Consider the following 19890-nt stretch of genomic DNA (forward strand, 5'->3'; position numbering starts at 1 on the left):
CTTAACAGATCATAAGATAGCTAACTTTCATTCCCTTAAATGGTTAATGTGCTCTTTTGTCCCCAATCCTCTTCTCACTCCCTGCACTGTGAGTGTGGGTGATCTCATATGCTGTGATATCTTCAATAACTTCTCTGCAATGATGACTTCCAAACCGGTATATCTTGCTCAGGTCCCCGTCCTGATCTTAAGACCCCATTGTCCATCTGTCTTCTAGATATCACCACCTTTGGTGTGTTCCATGGATAACTTGGATTCTGCTCACCCAGAGCTGACTTTATCTTCTCCCTTCACAGAGCCATTCTTGTGCTCCTTAGCTTTCCCAGTGCATGGCGTTGTTCTCTATTTGGTTCTTAAGCTGTAAACCTGGAAATCACCCTTGACTCGTCCTCCTTGTTTATGACTGACATCTAGTCATTTTTTAGGTCTTCCTTAACTATGTCTTGAACTCTGCCTTTGCTCTTCCTCCAGTGCCAGAATATTCATTCAGGTGCCCAGTGATTGAACTAGCCATCTTTCCCTGCTACCAGTCTTGCCTTCTTTCAGTCTGTCTTCCATGTGGCTGCCACAATGACTGTCCTAAACTTGAATCTCATTATGTAACTTTCATCCTTAAAATTTCTAGTGACTCCCCATGGCCTCTTCCAGGCTCCTTAGTGTGACACATGAGTTCCTTTTTAGTTTTCCAGCCTTGTCTTCCATCACTCCCCTACTCACCTCTCCAACCACACTGAACCACTAGCTTTCTTGTACCTTCGGTCTCACACACTACTTTCTGGAATGCCCTTTCCTATACTTCTTGGGTAATTCCTGTGCTTTCTTTGGTATTCTGCTTAGGCATCTCTTTCAGGGAGGCCTGCCTTGACCTCTTACCTCTGGCAGGGTTAGGTACCTCTCCTAGGCTTTCTGACAGTGTCTAGTATGTATTTCTTTTATGTTTTTTAAATATCCAAACTACAGTAAGAGGTAATAATGTTGGGCATTTACTATATGTCAAAACTTAATGAGCATTTGCTATGTGCCAGGCATAGGACAGTGCTAACTGGAAAGTGTTTCCTTATATAATTTTCAACTGGTTCTCATCTCAGAATTAGAGATAATTTTATGTCACTGCAAGAGTAATATTTGAAGATGGCTATCTAACATCTCTCTTTCAGGCTAAGTATCTTCATTGAATTTGTTCAAATATGGATTTCAGACCTCTTGCCTTCCTGGTCACTCCCCTCCATGTGTTTTATTTTGTTTTCTCTCTTAAAATATGTGGTTCCGTTTTACATCAAATAGAATTGTCATAAAGGAACATAGGGCTTCTCAGATGGATAGAAGCTGGATATGGATTGTCATATTTAAGGTATATACCTCACTTACCTAGGTCGTTAGCTATGAACATTTTTCTGAACATTTTCCAGAAGTCACTAGAATTACGGGAATTTACTTATAGTTAGCAAGTGATGGAGAGACTGACACAAAACCAAGAATGCCAGTTAGTGAATTTATTAATATAACTGTGAGTGGAACAGAAGCTTATAGTTTGGTGAGCACACTCTCATCACTATAGGAGAATCTACAGGGGAAGCCAGCCCATGTAATCAAATGGGTAATCTTAATGGGGAGTGTCACTAAGTCAGGATAACCTGATGGAGAGTCTTTATAAGGATGCAGCTGTCCAGCGCTGCTCTGGGGATATGGTCAGTGTGCTTTCACCTCAGACAGTGTTGGGGTCACATAGGCAAAGTCTTCCTTGTTAAACTCCTGCTCTGCCCCCACTACCTCAGATTAATATAACCTCCTTCTGTCAACATAGTTGACAAGGTTTCAGCTTTCTTAATTCACATTCCAATCCTGTCTCCCAGAAACTATAACCTACTCACTTTTGACCAGACTTGGGTATCCCCGGCCCTTTTCAGTCACACATTTTCTTGGAATTACTTACAGTGATGGCTAAATTCCATCACTCTATTTGATTCAGGCTGGTGTTACTCCCAGAGGATGACTTAATTTTCAAATTATGAGGACATTTATTTTGCCCTTTGTATGACTATAGGGCATCACTAAGTATTGAATAATTTCTCCAGATATGAGCCAACTAGTACAGTGTAGAGTATGGCATTCACCTTCCTTGTGCATGACTTTATTTATATGTGTGTGTCAACTCAGCCCAAGATTAAGATTGTATAAATTTTAGGGGCAGCCATTTCACACTTTAATTTATGTCAAGCTTTTTTTTTTTTTTTTAAGTGGAGTCTTGCTGTGTTGTCCAGGCTGGAGTGCAGTGGCACAGTCTTAGCTCACTGCAACTTCTGCCTCCCGGGTTCAAGTGATTCTCCTGCCTCAGCCTCCCAAGTTGCTGGGATGACAGGCGAGTGCCACCACACCCAGCTAATTTTTGTATTTTTAGATGGGGTTTTACCATGTTGGCTAGGCTGGTCTCGAATTCCTGACCTCAAGTGATCCACCCACCTCTGCCTCCCAAAGTGTTAGGATTACAGGCATAAGCCACCATGCCCGGCCTATGTCAAGCTTTTATTTGAAAAAACTCTTTAGTTCTTTCTTTAAAAATGTAATTTAAAAAATATTTTAATAAAGACAGGATTTCGTTATATTGCCTAGGCTGTTCTCGAACTCCTGAGCTTAAGCAATTCTCCTGCTTTGGCTTCCCAAGGTGCTGGGATAGTTGCCTTTTTGTGTGTGTGTTTTGAGATGGAGTCTCACTTTGTCACCCAGGCTAGAGTGCAGTGGCATGATCTCGGCTCACTGCAACTAACTGCCACCTCCTGGGTTCAAGTGATTCTCCTGTCTCAGCCTCCCAAGTAGCTGGGATTACAGGCCCCTGCCTCCATGCCCAGCTAATTTTTGTATTTTTAGTAGAGATGGGGTTTCACCATGTTGGCAAGGCTGGTCTCGAACTCCTGACCTCAGGTGATGTGCCCGCCTCGGCCTCCCAAAATGCTGGGATTATAGGCGTGAGCCCCCGTGCCTGGCCTGGTTGCTTTTTTATGTATACAACAGTTTTCACAATTTGTATTTAGCATTTGATTTTTTTAACCCAAATATAATTCTTTACATTTTCTCTATTAAATTTTATTTGTTACAGTTAATATTCTGTTAAAATTGTTTTAGATCTGACTCTGCTCTCCTTTTTTTCATTATTCTCTCCAGGCTCTGGTCATACCTACATTTTGATAAGGATGTTGGAAAAACTTTTATCCAGATCATTGGTAACACTATTGCCTAAGCCCAGTGAATATTGCAGAACTTATTTATGAGCATTCTGAGTTTTGTTATTTAATTGGTTATGTATATGTGTTACTCAGCCCATCTCTCTTCCTCTCAGAAAGAAATGGAGAGTGGAGCTTGTTAAATACCTTTCAGAGCATCACATAGATTTGTCTTATAGCTTTGCCAACAAAAGAAATAAAGTTACTTGGCAAGACTTGTTCTTCCTGAACCTACACTGATTCTCAGTGATTGCCCATCTTTGTCTATTCAGAAACTGTTTTATAATCATCTAGGATTTTCTTCCGGCTGAATGATAAACACAGAGTTAATCTTTTGCCATGTTCATTTTCTTTTGTTATGTTTGTGTTTTTTCCTCACTCTGAAAGATGGAGTACTTTGTCTCCTGTCTTAACCTCTTTGGTCTTCCTGACTTGTTAAAGAGTTATAGCATTCAGCAGAATTCCCATGCAGGCTCACAGTAGACAACTGGTCAAGTCAGATTTGCAGTGTGTCGGGGGCAGGTCTTTTATGGCCGCTTCACGTGTCATGGGCATCAGTTCTTTCATCCTAACGCGCCACTTTTTGCTGTCGTTCTCCTAGACTGAGAAGAGAGGCAGGGATTGAGTGATGGACACTGGACTGGAAGTTCTCTTTTATAAAATAGGCGTCATACCTACCTCTCCAGGTAGAAATATGTAAAAGGTCTTTGTAAACTGTGAGGGGGTATTCAAGTGTAGAATTTTTAAAAAGCAAAATAGAAGTGAAGGGTTTCTTTCCCCCCCTTTTTTTTCCTATCATGTATTAACTACACCATTTACCTTAACCAACGTACTCAGCCTTTTGTGTATACCAGGCCTTTTGTAAACTTTCTCTTCCAGACATAAATTCAAAAGTCCTTTTTGTAGCCCTTGCTGATTTTCTTAAGTTCAGCTCATTGTGGACATTTTACTTCCTGATACCATCCTGTGTTTCTTTTATAGGCATCCATGTTATGTGTCCCTCCTTTCTTTTTCTGTGTCTTTGAAAATCTGAGTTCATTGAAGAGCTCTTTGTGCAGCCAGTCTTTTCAGAATCTTCCCATTTTCTGTCATTAATATCCTTTGCAGTTTATAGCCAGAACTCTGTTTCTTATATCAAGTTTTAATCTTTTTGTTGTGACTAGAAGAAAGAGGATAGGAGCAATACTGGTTTTATGTCAGTCTGTCCATCACTTGTTTGGTTATACAAGTCCCCCACCACCACCACCACCATGTTTTTCTGACTCATTCTCCTTCTTTGTCTCTTTTTTTCATCTTTCTTTTCTGGATTCTTCTTGTGATATAACTAGGAATTATTCTAAAGCTCACAAGTTTCAGTCTGGTACTTTATCAGATCATGTATAGATATGGAACATTTCCCTTGTTATTCTTTTAAATTCATTTTCAATTTATAATTTACTTCCAACAGAACAAAATGACACTGTCTTCAGGGCAATAATCATGTTTGCCTTCCTTTGTATTTTTCTCATAACATCTAGTGAAAGTAGGTATTTAATACAAGAGAGCATTTAGTGAAAGGGAACCTAATAAGTGTGAATTCTCATGGGCATAATTCAGGAGTAATCCAAAGTCCTTACTGTCTTTGCGGGGTTTTACACGTTCTTGCCCCTGTCACCTCTCTGAACTCTTTCTTACCACTCCCCCTCACTCTCTCTGTGCCGTACTGAACTCCTTGCTGTTTCTTACTGCATACCTCTGCTTCAGGGCCTTTGCACTTACCATACATGCTGTGTGGTACTCTCCTCCCTTCAGATTTCTAAATCATTCTTTTTCATCTCATTCAAACCTCCTTCTCAATGAAACCTTCTGATGTCCTTATTTAAAATTGTAATGCCTCTCCCAGCCCCTATACTTTCTTTCCATCCCCTCGCCCCACTAGAATATAAGATCCATAAGGGCTGGTATTTTGTGTCATTTGTATTTTTATACGGTGCCAGGAACAGTATCTGGCACATAGTGGATGCTCAGTAAATATTTGTTGAATTAATTAATCAAGGCTAGTTTAACTAGACTTCTGTTGTTGAGAGCTTCCTAAAACAGATGACTCATCTTTCTTTTTTGAGTCTCAGGCAGGACTTACTTTTCTTTTCTCTGAACATTTTGTAATTTTTGTTGCCTAATTGTGTCCCATGTTTCCATTCCCAGCTATTGTAACAAACTTGAAAATTCCATGGTAAATTGCTCTCCGGTTTCCCAGTACTTCCATTTATCATCGAATTTCTTCCCAGTGGTCACATTCACATCCAGAATATTTCTTTTCCTATTTGAGAGGTGGAAGGGTTAGCAAGGCATTTATCAGAGACATTGATTTTATCTGTGGGAGAATTCTAGCGGCTATCCCAAAAGTTGAAGTCCCCATCACAGCTTATTTGTGTCAGCCTCAGTCTCTAGAATACCAGCAATTCTTAATGCTTCTACTTTCCTTGCTTTTGCCCTGTTCTAGTGCAGAGTCCCATTTCATCAAATCTCAGTGATGCTTAATAGTATCATATTAACTTATTTGTAAATTGTCAGTTTTCTTTCTTTGTTTAATACCCATATTCTGGGCATGGGTTTCCACAGACCTGAGACCACTTTGTTGCTAACACCTTTCCCATTTGTTTTTCTGCAACAAATAATTGACCCAAGCTTTCCCATTATTTTCAGTTTTCTTTTTCAGAGCATGCCCAGCCAGCTTCTTTCATTGTTACAGTAATATCTGAACTTTTTGTATCTCTTCTTCCATTTTCAGCTTAAGGTCTACTTGATCAGTTAATCAAAATTACATAGTGATTAGAAAAAGCTCAAGATCCATCACCATTTTAACTGTGTGACCTGAAACAAATTTCTTAAGTTCTTCTCTAAATTTGTTTTTGTATCTGTAAAATGGGGAGTGGAGAGCAGTAATGCCTGCTTCTTGAGTCATTAATCCTTGCTTTCAGAATTGAGTGATATGAAGATGATGATGATAAACTTTTATGTAGGGTTTACTATTTGCCAGATGTTGTTTTAAAAGCCTTACATATTATTAACTAATACAGTATATATGGCATACAGTTCTGTTTATTAGCATATGCATGGCATGTGGAAGCAGTCAGTAAATGTTAGTTTTTATTAGCAGCAGCGGCAGCAGATCTCTGGGTAAACATTCTTTTCTTAGTTTTTGCAAGGTATACTTCCTCACCAGTGAAAAGTCTGTTACAGATGATTGTATGCTGTGGTATGAATCAGACGTTTGTGTACCATTTGTACCATTTTTGACGCTATTCATTTGCTATAAGAAACCACAGAAATCTCACAATAGTCCCTTCTCTTAAAAAATTATATTTTAGGATTAGAGCCCAGACAATAATAATGCCATTATTGAGAAGCCAGCCATTACACACTGAAACTAAATACAAATTATGTCTTTAAAGTAAAATTTCAACTTTTAAAAATAGAAATTTTATTGAAAATTAGTTTTTATAATTTACATTTAGTAAATTCCATATATTTTCACTGATTCAGTACAAAATGTTCAAATCAAAATACCTATTGAGAAAGCACTATAGAAACTTTGCTAGGTATTAACGTTAAAAATCGTAAAACATTACATTTTCCATGGCAGAAAACTGATAAAATCATTGAGTAGTCAATTTCTGAAATGTTTCTTAATTTTAGAATAATATGGGTAAACAGCCAGGTGCAGTGGCTCACACCTGTAATCCCAGTGACTCAGGAGGCTGAGGTGGAAGGATCACTCGAGGCCAGGAGTTTAAGGCTGCAGTGAGCTATGATGGCACCACTGCACTCCAGCCTGGGTGATGGAGTGGGACTCTATCTCTAATTAAAAAAAAAAAAAAAAGGAATAATATGGATAGATGTATTTAAAGTACACTAAGAATAAAACAAAATATTTGTTATATGTAGACTCTGAGAATTTTTTTTTTTTTTTTGAGATAGAGTCTTACTCTGTTGCCCAGGCTGGAACGCAGTGGTGGGATCCCAGCTCACTGCAATCTCAGCCTCCCGGGTTCAAGCGATTCTCCCATCTCAGCTTCCCGAGTAGCTGGGATTACAGGCGTGCACCACCATGCCTGGCTAATTTTTGTATTTTTGGTAGAGATGGGGTTTCTCCACATTGGCCAGGCTAGTCTTGACCTCAGGTGACCCACCCACCTGGGCCTCCCAAAGTGCTGGGATTACAGGCGTAAGTCACTGTGCCCAGCCAAGATTGTTTTGATAGAACACTTTGTGTCTCTCTCACCTTGTATTTAGAAAAGTTAGAAAATAAAGGATAATGTATATAGAAAGCTTTTTGAAGACTCTTAAGGAGTTCATAAATATGGGGCACTACGACTATGCATATGAAAATATTTCTTATCAGTTGGCAGTTACCACCTCTTACAGTGGCATGAAACCTCTTGAGTTAAACCAAGGCTCAGTGAGATTTGGTGATTTAGGTAGTATCACTTTATGAACAAGCAGGTCTTTTATTTTATTACACTTCTCTTTGACATTCACTCCAGTTAAAGAACTCTTTCAAAAGACCTCATGCCTGGTCTCATGGAGATTGAAAGGTGTTTGAGTCCTTCCTTATTATCCCCTTGGAAGATGCTTTGAGGACCCCAGTGATGAATCGCAAGAACTCTGTCTCCATTATCCCTGGTATAGGGCACCTCATCACTCTGGTGTTATCCCTAAAGGGCCTTCATCATAATGTGCTTAAAGAGTCCCCTATTATGTCCTTTAGGATGGAGCTTTGACTTGCCCAAATTGCTATGTACATGTTAAAGAGAGGCTGGAACTGAAGTTGGTCATTTCTCACTGGATCAGTCAACAAGATTTGAGTACTTTCTGTGTGCTCTGCATCATTCTGAGTACTTTGGGGGACAGAATAAGGCGTGGCTCCTGCCTTCAAGGAGTGTGGAATTTAATAGAAGATGACAACATACATGACTGTAAATCTGTCTACGTGAGAGTGCCTAATTGTGAGATTCCTAATAAATGGCAAGACATGTTCTGAAAACGTGAAACATAAATGAGGCTGAAGAAATTGTGAAAAGTTTAGCAGAGGAGGAATAGTTCGTCAGGTTCTTTAAATACAAGTAAAGGGGAAAGGAAGGACCATTTTTAAGTTTAGATATTCCAAGGGTTAGTGGTGAGGTTGATTATGGTATGTCTTCTCGTTGATGAGGGAGGAGACTGGTGAATAGTGGAAAATAAAGTTAAATGGCTAGGGTGGGGCCAAATTATGGGCTTTAATAAAAGCCAGGCATAGAAATTTAGATTGGGATGGTAGAAAAAGGAAAGCTTTAAAAGTTTTTGAGCCAATGAATGACATCATACAAGTTCTATGAGCAATGATTTCAGGATGGGAGAGAATGGCATCAGGAAGACCCACTTGAATGCTGGTAAGTAATGTTACCAACAGTGCCATTAGTAACATTAATGTTACTAGGGCCTGGACTGATATGCTGATGGAAGTGAGAATGAAGAATAAGGTGGGATGAAAGAGATTTTGAAAGAGGTTTTAAAGAACCTGAAATGGGAATGGGAGAGATTAACTAAGCCTGCTTGCCATGGACAGCAATGGGGTTGCTAGAAGATTAGCTGTGGGGAAAAAGTTATGCATTTACCTTTGGGCATAATTAAATGCAATTGACTCTCCATATTCATGGGTTCTGCATCCACTGATTCAAACAACTGTGGAACAAAATTGTCAGAAAAAACAATACAACAATAAAAAATGATACAAATAAAAAACAGCATGGTATACCAACTATTTATGTAGCATTTACATCATATTAAGTATTAGAAGTAATCTAGAGATGATTTAAAGTATATAGGAGGATGTGTGTAGGTTATATGCCAATACTACACTATTTTATACCAGTAACTTGAGCATCCATGGATTTTGGTATACAAGGGGGATCCTGGAACCAATTCCCCATGCATATCAAAGGATGACTGTATGAGTTATCTGTAAAAAAATGTTTTGGTTGAAATGTTTAGAAAACAGCTAGACAAGACTGGCTGTTGGATGACAAAAACATAGGACTAGGAAATTCAGGTATGCTACTCTTTTTGAGTATTGTTTAAAGCCATAGGAAAAGAGCTCTCTGTGAGTTCCAAGGCAGATGCAAGGACTGGCATTCATGCACAGCTTCTAATAGATAAATCTGAAGAGTTCTTAGTATGCATGTTGACTGAAATTACTTTAGAAGTAATTTTTCTCCTGGTGATAAAAGGCATGTAAGGCTGTTTTAGGAAATTGAAAAATGCAAAAAGGTATGAAGAAAAAGAAAAGATAATCATTAATAGTACTTTAGTAAACAAGATTTGACTAAAGATATGGCTTTCCTTCCGCTTGTTTTCTTATGCATATAAAGGGATAGGAAATATGTATGTGTGTATGTGTGTGTATAGGATCGTGCACTATATATAGCTTGCTTCTTTTTCCATCATGATAATTTTCCCATGTCATGAATTATGGCTTGCAAGTGCTATTCTTAAAGGGCTGCATTATTTTTCATTATTTGGATTTATTGTTATTTAATTGGAGCTCTATTATTGAACATTTAGATTGCTTCCAAAATTTTTTGCTGTTATTAATATATTGTAATAAACTTCTGTGAAACACATACTCTTCACCTGCTACTTACCTATGACTTCTGTAAGCAGAGACCTCTGTATCCCCAGGACCTAGAAGGTTACCTGGACATAGTAGTTGCTTAATTAAAAAAATTATTGATTGAATGAAAGAAGACTATTAAATGTTCAGTTCTTCTTTTTTTATTCTGATTGCCTGTGTATCCAGGGGCCTCTTATTTGGCTGCATGTGTGAGTTTGGCTGTAATGAAAGTATTGGCCATGTATGACCATAAACAGGCATTCCTATTTCTGTCACAGTTATATTTGTCATTCTGTATTAATATATCTGTATCCTGATTTCTGTTGAAGCATGATTAATTTTGTTTGCTTCTAAGCAATGTAGCTACCCTATTGATGCTGATAAAAATAAATTTCTGAACCTATAAGGCTGAGGATTGGGCCTAGGTTGTGGTAAACTGGCAAGATAATGGATGCTACCCTCTCAAGAGCCCTCTGAAGAGAAAAGTCTGCTACCCTTCACCAGGTAGAAACTCCTGACAGTGCCACATTTTCCAGTTTGACTCCCTGTGATACCCTGAAAAGACAGATGTTTGACTCTTTTCAAATAATATTTTAACATATTTTAAGACACAAAGGCATTGTGTCAGACTTTTTTCTTAAGAATATATATTGTTGCCACTCAGAAGTTAGCTTCCAAAAGAAATAAGTGTGTGCAAAGGTTTACGATAGTGGTATAGAGAAGTTTTTAAAATAAATGTGCATCTTTTCCTATAGTAATAAAAGCACATTATGAAGAATTTTGTAGGTCCAGTCCACATATTCCCTGTGCCTGGGGAAAACTTTAGTAGAAAATTAGATAATTTATAATTTGATTCGGGGAAGTCTAGTGGAAAAACTTTTTAATGGAGCGATCCAATTTGAAACATGAATATCTGTGCTGGAAGCTTCTATTGAACTTTACTTAAGTAACATCTAAGACCCTCTCCCTGTCAGTCCGCCATTACCCTAACAGTGGTAGAAATTCTTTATATTACACCTAGATCTTTTTTTGTTGCACTTTTAAGCTGTGTAGGAAACACATTGCCCACATGTTCATACAACACAGAGTGATTATCCACTTAGTTCCTAAAAAGTTGTATTTAGTTATGGGGTTTGATCCCACTTGTCCAGGATTTAGGTCAGCTACTGAAGATTAGGATATCTGGGTACCTCTTACTGGAGAATCCATTCCTGTTTTCATTTCATTCCTGGGGGCAATATTCAATCTGGTGTGGCCCTCTGTGTTATAAAATGTTTCCCAGATTGTGTTTATCTGAAATACAAATCCAAGAAGAAGCATGGTGTTAACTGCTGTGTAAAAAAGATTCCGGAGTCAAGAGCTTGAGAAGTTCTGTTCCTTCCTTCATAGGTTCAGTTGTTTAACCCAGCATTTTTCAAACGTATTTGACTCCTAGAACCTGTTTTCCCTCAGACATATTTAAGAAAAAAGCGTTTTGTAGAACACATTGGACAAATGATACTTTATATCATTGCTTTGTTTTTTAAATTTTAGTTTGACTCAATTTTACAGTTTCGGGTTTTTGTTTCTGTTGCAGGTTTTAAGCTCTTCTTTTATAAATAGTTACTTTCCTAGTCTGAAATCTATACATTGTTTCAGTAATGAATTCATTATGTAAATTTGCCCATCATTCATCTAAAGGGAATAAACGTTAAATTGTTTTTTTAAATTTTGACTTGTGTCACATATGAGAATATAAAGTATATCTGTACAATAAAGGAAAATGAAACATCAAAGTATCTACCTCAGGTTAAGAAGCAGAACTTGGCCGGGCATGGTGGCTCACACCTGTAATCCCAGCACTTTGGGAGGCAGAAGTGGGAAGATAGTTGAAGCCAGGAGTTGGAGACCAGCTTGTTCAATAAAGGAAGACCTCATCTCTAACAACAACCACAACAACAAAAAATCAGCCAGGCACGGTGGCATATGCTTATAGTCCCAGCTACTGGTGCAGGCTCGAACTCCTGGTCTCAAGCCATCTTCCCACCTCAGCCTCGTGTTCTAGTGAACATTGTTATGATGCAGTGTCTCCTATTCTGCATGTGCAGGAGTATTTTTACAGTATGTACCTGGAGTGGAATTGCTTGGTCATTGGGCATGTGTGTGTTCAGCTCTATTGAGTGGCATCAAACTGTTCTCCAAAGCAGTTGTACTAATCTATACCCTCACCAGCAGTGAATAGTCTTCCCATTGTTCTTCCTCATTCGAAACTAGATATTCACAGCCTTTTAGGTTTTTGTTAGAGTATGAAGTGGTATCTCTTTGGGGTTTTAATGTTTATTTCCCTGATTAGAATTGTAGTTGAGCATCTTTTATTATGTTTATGGGCCATTTATGTTTTCTCTTCTGTGAAATTCCTATTCGGGTTTTTTGCTCATTTTAAATTTTGTTGTTTGTGTTTTTCTTATATAGGAATTCTTCATGCATTCAAGATGCATGTATATTGTTCAGAATAGTACCTGAGACATAGAAACAACTTTGTAAGAATAGCTATCATTGTATTACCATTGTATTTAATCCTTTGTTTTTATGTGTTACAATTATCTTCTGCTAGTCGGTGGCTTATTTTTCATTCTGTGATGCTAATTTTTTTTTAATTATCCTGTAAGTTTTAGGGTACGTGTGCACAATGTGCATGTTAGTTACATATGTATACATGTGCCATGTTGGTGTGCTGCACCCATTAACTCGTCATTTAACATTAGGTATATCTCCTAACGCTATCCCTCCCCCTTTCCCCCCACCCCACAACAGGCCCCAGTGTGTGATGTTCCCCGTCCTGTGTCCATGTGTTCTCATTGTTTAATTCCCACCTATGAGTGAGAACATGTGGTGTTTGGTTTTTTGTCCTTGCCATAGTTTGCTGAGAATGATGGTTTCCAGCTTCATCCATGTCCCTACAAATGACATGAACTCATCATTTTTTATGGCTGCACAGTATTCCATGGTGTATATGTGCCACATTTTCTTAATCCAGTCTATCGTTGTTGGACATTTGGCTTGGTTCCAAGTCTTTGTTATTGTGAATAGTGCCACAATAAACATACGTGTGCATGTGTCTTTAAAGCAGCATAATTTATAATCCTTTGGGTATATACCCAGTAATGGGATTGCTGGGTCAAATGGTATTTCTAGTTTTAGATCCCTGAGGAATCGCCACACTGACTTCCACAATGGTTGAACTAGTTTACAGTCCCACCAACAGTGTAAAAGTGTTCCTATTTCTCAACATCCTCTCCAGCACCTGTTGTTTCCTGACTTTTTAATGATCGCCATTCTAACTGGTGTGAGATGGTATCTCATTGTGGTTTTGATTTGCATTTCTCTGATGGCCAGTGATGATGAGCATTTTTCCATGTGTCTTTTGGCTTCATAAATGTCTTCTTTTGAGAAGTGTCTGTTCATATCCTTCGCCCACTTTTTGATGGGGTTGTTTGTTTTTTTCTTGTAAATTTGTTTGGGTTCATTGTAGATTCTGGATATTAGCCTTTTGTCAGATAAGTAGATTGCAAAAATTTTTTCCCATTCTGTAGGTTGCCTGTTCACTCTGATGGTAGTTTCTTTTGCAGTGCAGAAGCTCTTTAGTTGAATTAGATCCCATTTGTCAATTTTGGCTTTTGTTGCCATTGCTTTTGGTGTTTTAGACATGAAGTCCTTGCCCATGCCTATGTCCTGAATGGTATTGCCTAGGTTTTCTTCTAGGGTTTTTATGGTTTTTAGGTCTAACATGTAAGTCTTTAATCCATCTTGAATTAATTTTTGTATAAGGTGTAAGGAAGGGATCCAGTTTCAGCTTTCTATATATGGCTAGCCAGTTTTCCCAGCACCATTTATTAAATAGGGAATTGTTTCCCCATTTCTTGTTTTTGTCAGGTTTGTCAAAGATCAGATGGTTGTAGATACGCGACATTATTTCTGAGGGCTCTGTTCTGTTCCATTGGTCTATATCTCTGTTTTGGTACCAGTACCATGCTGTTTTGGTTACTGTAGCCTTGTAGTATAGTTTGAAGTCAGGTAGCATGAGCCCTCCAGCTTTTTTCTTTTGGCTACATGTTCATAACCATGACATATTCATGTTGCATATGTTCTGTGTCATAACCCAGACCTTTCTATCTTTTTTTATTTTTGAAATGGAGTTTTGCTTTGTCACCCAGGCTGCAGTGCAATGGCGTGATCTTGGCTCACTGCAACCTTTGCCTCCTGGGTTCAAGTGATTCTCCTGCCTCAGCTTCCCGAGTAGCTGGGATTACAGGCACCCACCACCATGCCCGGCTGATTTTTGTATTTTTAGTAGAGACGTTGTTTCGCCATGTTGGCCAGGCTGGTCTCGAAATCCTGACCTCAGGTTATCCGCCCACCTTGGCCTCCCAAAGTGTTGAGATTACAGGCATGAGCAGCTGCACCCGGCCAACTTTCAATCGTAAGTACCCTTTTTTGCTGCTGTTTCTTTTTTTGAACCCCAGGAAAAAATTAACTCATTTAATCCCGTATTCAAACTGCTACAATTTTATTTTCAGTGTTGTCGCCTGATTGTAGATGCATTTGTCTCTCCGAATGTACTGGGATTATTTCGAAGACAAAACATTTTTGGCACTGTGATTTCAAAAGTTTAATCTTAAGACTTTAGGAGCTACCTGAAATCTGCAACAATTGCCTATAAGAGATCCAAATGAATCTTTTTTTATTTTTTAGTTTGGAGACAGTGTCTCCATCACCCAGGCTGGAGGGCAGTTATGTGATCACGGCTCACTGTAACCTGTACCTCCCAGGCCCAGGCGATCCTCCCACCTCAGCCTGCCAAGTAGCTGGGTCTACCAGTGTGCCACCACACCCAGCTGATTGATTCTTATTTATTTATTTATTTATTTTGAGTCTCTCTGTGCATCCAGGCTGGAGTGCAGTGGCGTGATCTCAGCTCACTGCAACCTCCACCTCTTGGGTTTGAGCAATTATCTTGCCTCAGCCTCCCGAGTAGCAGGGATTACAGGTGTATGCCACCATGCCCAGCTAATTTTTGTATTTTTAGTAGAGATGGGGTTTCACCATGTTAGCCAGGCTGGTCTCGAGCTCCTGACCTCAAGTAATCCACCTGCCTTGGGCTCCCAAAGTGCTGGGATTACAGACGTGAGCCACCGCACCCAGCGCTTTTAAATTTTTTTTTATGGAGACAGGGCCTCGCTTTGTTGCCCAGGCTGGTCTTGAACTCCTGGGCTTAAGGGATCCTCCCACCTCCACCTCCCAAATTACTGGGATTATAGGTGTGAACCACCATGCCTGGCTTGAATCTTAAACTATGATTTTAGTTGAATCTTTATGATGTTATTTGTAATATGTAACTTGCTGACCAAACTATCTATGAATTACTTCCTTTGGCTTAGTAGAGAGATCCTAATTATCTTTTGGTAGATTTTTCCACATATTGGAGGATGACAAAAGGGACATGTTAACAGTGTAATTGTAAAGGTACAGTGATGATAGCAGTGATAATGATAATGATAATTTCTTCAAATTGACCCTTATCATGAATCAGGTACTGCCCTAAGTGCATTACATATATTAACTCACAACAATCCTTTTGATCTATGAGAAAACCAAGGCGCAGGCAGATTTAGTAACTTGTCTAAGATCACACAGCCAGCAGGAATGGAATTAGGGATTCAAAGTCAGCCAGTCTAGTTGCACAGTTTTAGACGTAGATTCATAGGTATCTGAAGAAATACTAATTCATTTTTAGTTTTAAAAGAATTCACCTAAGACTTTGTTTTTTAAATGTGATGATGAGAGAATGGGAAAATACATTTTCACTGTGGTTGGTGGGGTCCAGTACTTTTAAGGAAGGAGCAAAACTTGGAGCTGGAGTTGCCTAATGGAAGTGTATGGTGGATCAGGCTTTCATTATGAATAGTTTTGGTTCCTCATGAGTGGATGCTGGCCTCTGAAGGATTTCAGAAAATTCATAGCTTGTAATTCAATTTCCTATATATGCCATATGCAGATGTTTGGGGGGTAGTTAGTAGAGAATGGTTTTAAATATTCCACAGAGGACTCCGATTGGTTTTTGAGCTTGGATAGTTACTGTGCAGTTGAGATAGAGCCATTCTAAAAGACTACAGCTATTTGGGAGACAGCTAACCATATTTGAAATGTGTCTACTCATTAGCTTTATTTTTGTATTTTTTATTTTGAGACGGAGTTTTGCTCTGTCACCCAGGCTGGAGTGCAGTGGCACGATCTCGTCTCACTGCATCTTCCGCCTCATGAGTTCAAGAGATCCTCCTGCCTCAGCCTCCCGAGTAGCTGGGACTACAGGCGCACACCACCGTGCCTGGCTAACTTTTGTATTTTTAGTAGAGACAGGGTTTCACCATGTTGGCCAGATTGGTCTTGAACTCCTGACATCAAGTGATCCACCTGCCTTGGCCTCCCAAAGTGCTTGGATTATAGGCATGAGCCACCGTACTCATTAGCTTTAGGTTAAAAATATTTTCCTCCTGTGAATCTTTATTTTGGATTTTAAACGCTCTCATTGGTTCAAAAAGCAACTTTCATTAAGTTGCTGTTACTGCTTCGGCTCTTGGCTATTTTTAGATAGAGTTTTCACTCAGCTGTGGTTTGTTTACTTAGCTGTAAGTAAATATAAATAATACAACGAATTAAGGTCAATTCATTTACTCTAAAAATTGTAGGGTTAAATGGCTAAGCAAAAAGAATGAGACATTATAGCTCCTTATCCATTCCGTTTTGAGTAGAATTAGCACAGCGTTGGAATGACCATGTATAGGAAAGATAGTACTGAGGTGATCTGCTGTATGGTATTATGCTGATGAATTAGCTAGGGTGTGTATATTAGTGCAAAAGTTTAAGAACTTTGCCATGCGATTTAAATATTATGCTTTGTTTTCCTTTTGATTTCCCCTCAAGGAAGGACTGGGAAAGTAGCTCTTTTCCCTCCTTTATATGGTCATAATAAAGGATTGCAAATTAATTAGCTGCATTCAAGGCATCACACAGATTGAATTCCATATTTGTCTTGGAGGGAAGTCCAGACTTCTGCCTGGGGTGACTGAATCTGCTTTGTGAGACTGGGTGCAACTTCCGTGTATTCAAGGGTGGGATCATCTTGTCAACAGCCAAATATCTTACAAGATGTAAGTCACTTAGAAGAAATTATCCCCCCAAATGTGGTTTGTTTTTAATGTTTCTTTCAAAACCTCTTTCCCCCAACACACACAGTGCAGCAGAGAAAAGTTGCACCTGCCTGCTACTTGACAGTAGATTCTGTGATGATTGATTGTAGGCATTGTTTTCTGTGTGGGTTGGGAACAGAAAAATGCTCTTTAACCTTTTGCCAGGTCTCTGATAAGTACTGAAAACTTTGGCAGTTAAATGTGGACTGTAAAACACATGAAGAAATACTGGAAAAACAAAAATGGACTCAGATTAAAAAGCTGAAATGCATTATTTTCTAAACTAGTTCCTTTGGGGCCTTGATTGTGTCAGAAATACTTACTGATTTTTTTCTTTTTTTTTTTTAAGATCCTCATGACCTTTATGCTATGTTGACAAAGCCAGTTTGTGTTTGATATTTTTTTCTTCCTTATTTTGTATGTTTATCTTTTTTCTTTTAAACAAGGGCGGAGATTTTCTACTTTATTGATCCCTGTAAGTGGCTATGATTTATTTTATGGAGAAGAATGGGAGTATTGGAGGCAGAATGGGAGGGGTCCTGGACTGGGAGCCGAATGGTGCCTCCGTTTCTATATGTGTGACCCTAGACAAGGCTTGCCAAACACCTGCCCACCTACGCATGGCTTGGGAGAGCAGTACTGAATAGTGGAAGAGTCCTAGGCTAATGAGTGTTGACAGGCTTGTTTTGGTTTTATAACATTTATAACATACACATCTCTGAGCCCATTTTTTCTGTTGCAAAATGGCAGTAACATTATTTACCACTCGTTAGGGCTAATGTGAGGATCAAAACCAAATGAGATAATGTATATAAAGTATTAAGCATATTACCTACCACATAATTAATGTATAGTTAATTATGAATTATTTATTTTTATTATTGTCAATAACAGAGTGTTAGCATTTAATAAAGTTCTGGGTATGGAATAGAATGATCAGATTTCTAGGTTTTGACGTTTGGTACTATAGCCTCACTGCTGAGAAAATCTGGGAAGTATAAGGAGGTAATGGTTAAAAGATAGGCAGAATTTTCTAATTTCAGAATAATAGTCATTAACAGCAGGACATTGTCTAGATAATCTACCTTTCTGTGCCTTACTTTTTATCTTTATTCAAATGAAGATAATATGTTTTGAGGAAACAATATTGCTGTTGTTTTGTAGAAATTGAAACATAAGTACGTGTGGTTTGTGGCACTGAGGACTGACTGATTGCTTCTCTCTGATACTTCTTTTAGAAATGCCCTTTTTGGGCCGGGTGCGGTGGTTCACGCCTGTAATCCCAGCACCTTGGGAGGCTGAGGTGGGCGGATCACAAGGTCAAGAGATTGAGACCATCCTGGCCAACATGGTGAAACCCCATCTCTACTAAAAATACAAAAATTAGCTGGGCGTAGTGGTGCACACCGGTAATCCCAGTTACTCGGGAAGCTGAGGCAGGAGAATCAGTTTAACCCAGGAGGCCAAGAGCGCGCCACTGCACTCCAGCCTGGCAACAGAGCAAGACTCTGTCAAAAAAAAAAAAAAATTGCCCTTTTTGGAGCTCAGATAAAAGACACTATGTAATTTGTAAGAAAAAAGGGTGTCCTGTTGGAGTCTACGTGTCAGGAGTAGTCTAAATCTTAAGTAACCAGAACTTAACTATCCTCTCCATTATTTTGAGAAATGATGGTGAGGATCATTGCTGATATGGTTTTCAAATCTGGGGGGAAAGATTACAGAATGGTGTAAAAATCACCTGAAAAAGAATTCTTTTTGTTTGTGCATTTTATCACGTCACTACTAATCTGGCCAGCAGGGAGTTACCATCTGTACTGTGTGGCAGTGACCAGAGAAAACAGGTCCAGTCCATTTCATGTGTTTAATAATATATCATGTTCACATATAACCCACATTTATTCAGTACCTATAGGTGCTATGCTTGAAGCACATAAGCCGTTCATGATGAATACATACTATTGTTCAATGCTGCAGTTTTTATGTTATCTTGAAAGACAGAGGGAGAAATAACTTGCATTTCCAAACTCGTCTCTTTTATACTTTGAAGAAGGAACTTGTTACCTTTATTGTACATTAATGATTACATATATAACTCACTATGTTTTCTTTTCTCTACTTCCAAACCCAAGAAGGCATTCTAACAGTATCTCAGTAATCTCCGCTAACCCTGCCCCAGTTCAGTCATATCCTGCTAGACCATTTTAGTTATCTAATAATTACAGTAAACCTCCCTTCCATTCCTCCCCTCTTCCTTCATTCCTCAAACATTGCCAGCAACCACCAAATCCACCTTCCTGCCCCAACAATCTAAATTGTAAATTGGACCACATCATACTCAGACTTAAAATCTTTTAAATGGCTTCCTTACCACTTTTCAAGGTACCATCCAAATTCCATGGCATCACATTCATGGTCCTTCTCAATCTGGTTCCTACTTTCCTGTCCTCCCTCATCTCCTGCCACTTTTTCTCTCGCCCCTTCATACAAAATTATTTACAATTCCTTGCTGTCTCACACTACTAAGGCCTTTTGGTATTTTCAGCTCCATCACCCCATTATCATACTTACTTTGTGTTATTGTTCGTTTGTTTATATGTCTGTCTTCCATGATTAGACTGCATCTTTTTTTTTTTTTTTTTTGAGACGGAGTTTCATTCTTGTTGCCCAGGCTGGAGTGCAATGGTGTGGTCTCAGCTCACTGCAACCTCTGCTTCCCCAGTTCAAGTGATTCTCTTGCCTCCCAAGTAGCTGGGATTACAGGCACCTGCCACCACGCCTGGCTAATTTTTTAGTATTTTAAGTAGAGATGGGTTTC

The 19890-nt window shown here is 38.9% G+C and overlaps 1 protein-coding gene across 1 annotated transcript in view, besides 1 other annotated feature; it reads left to right on the forward strand.

Annotated features, from left to right (window-relative positions):
• STK38L (serine/threonine kinase 38 like) overlaps positions 1-19890 on the forward strand; it is an 81674-nt gene that overhangs the window by 11360 nt on the left and 50424 nt on the right. The window lies entirely within an intron of this gene.
• Positions 17011-17305: a silencer, noted in NCBI's record as "tiled region #14756; HepG2 Repressive non-DNase unmatched - State 8:EnhW". NCBI's record gives its function as "represses a minimal TATA promoter and a strong SV40 promoter by Sharpr-MPRA in HepG2 cells {active_cell/tissue: HepG2}" and the evidence as "EXISTENCE:reporter gene assay evidence [ECO:0000049][PMID:27701403]".

The sequence above is a fragment of the Homo sapiens genome, chromosome 12 (genome assembly GCF_000001405.40).
Source record: "Homo sapiens chromosome 12, GRCh38.p14 Primary Assembly".
In the NCBI taxonomy this organism is placed as follows: Eukaryota; Metazoa; Chordata; class Mammalia; order Primates; family Hominidae; genus Homo; species Homo sapiens.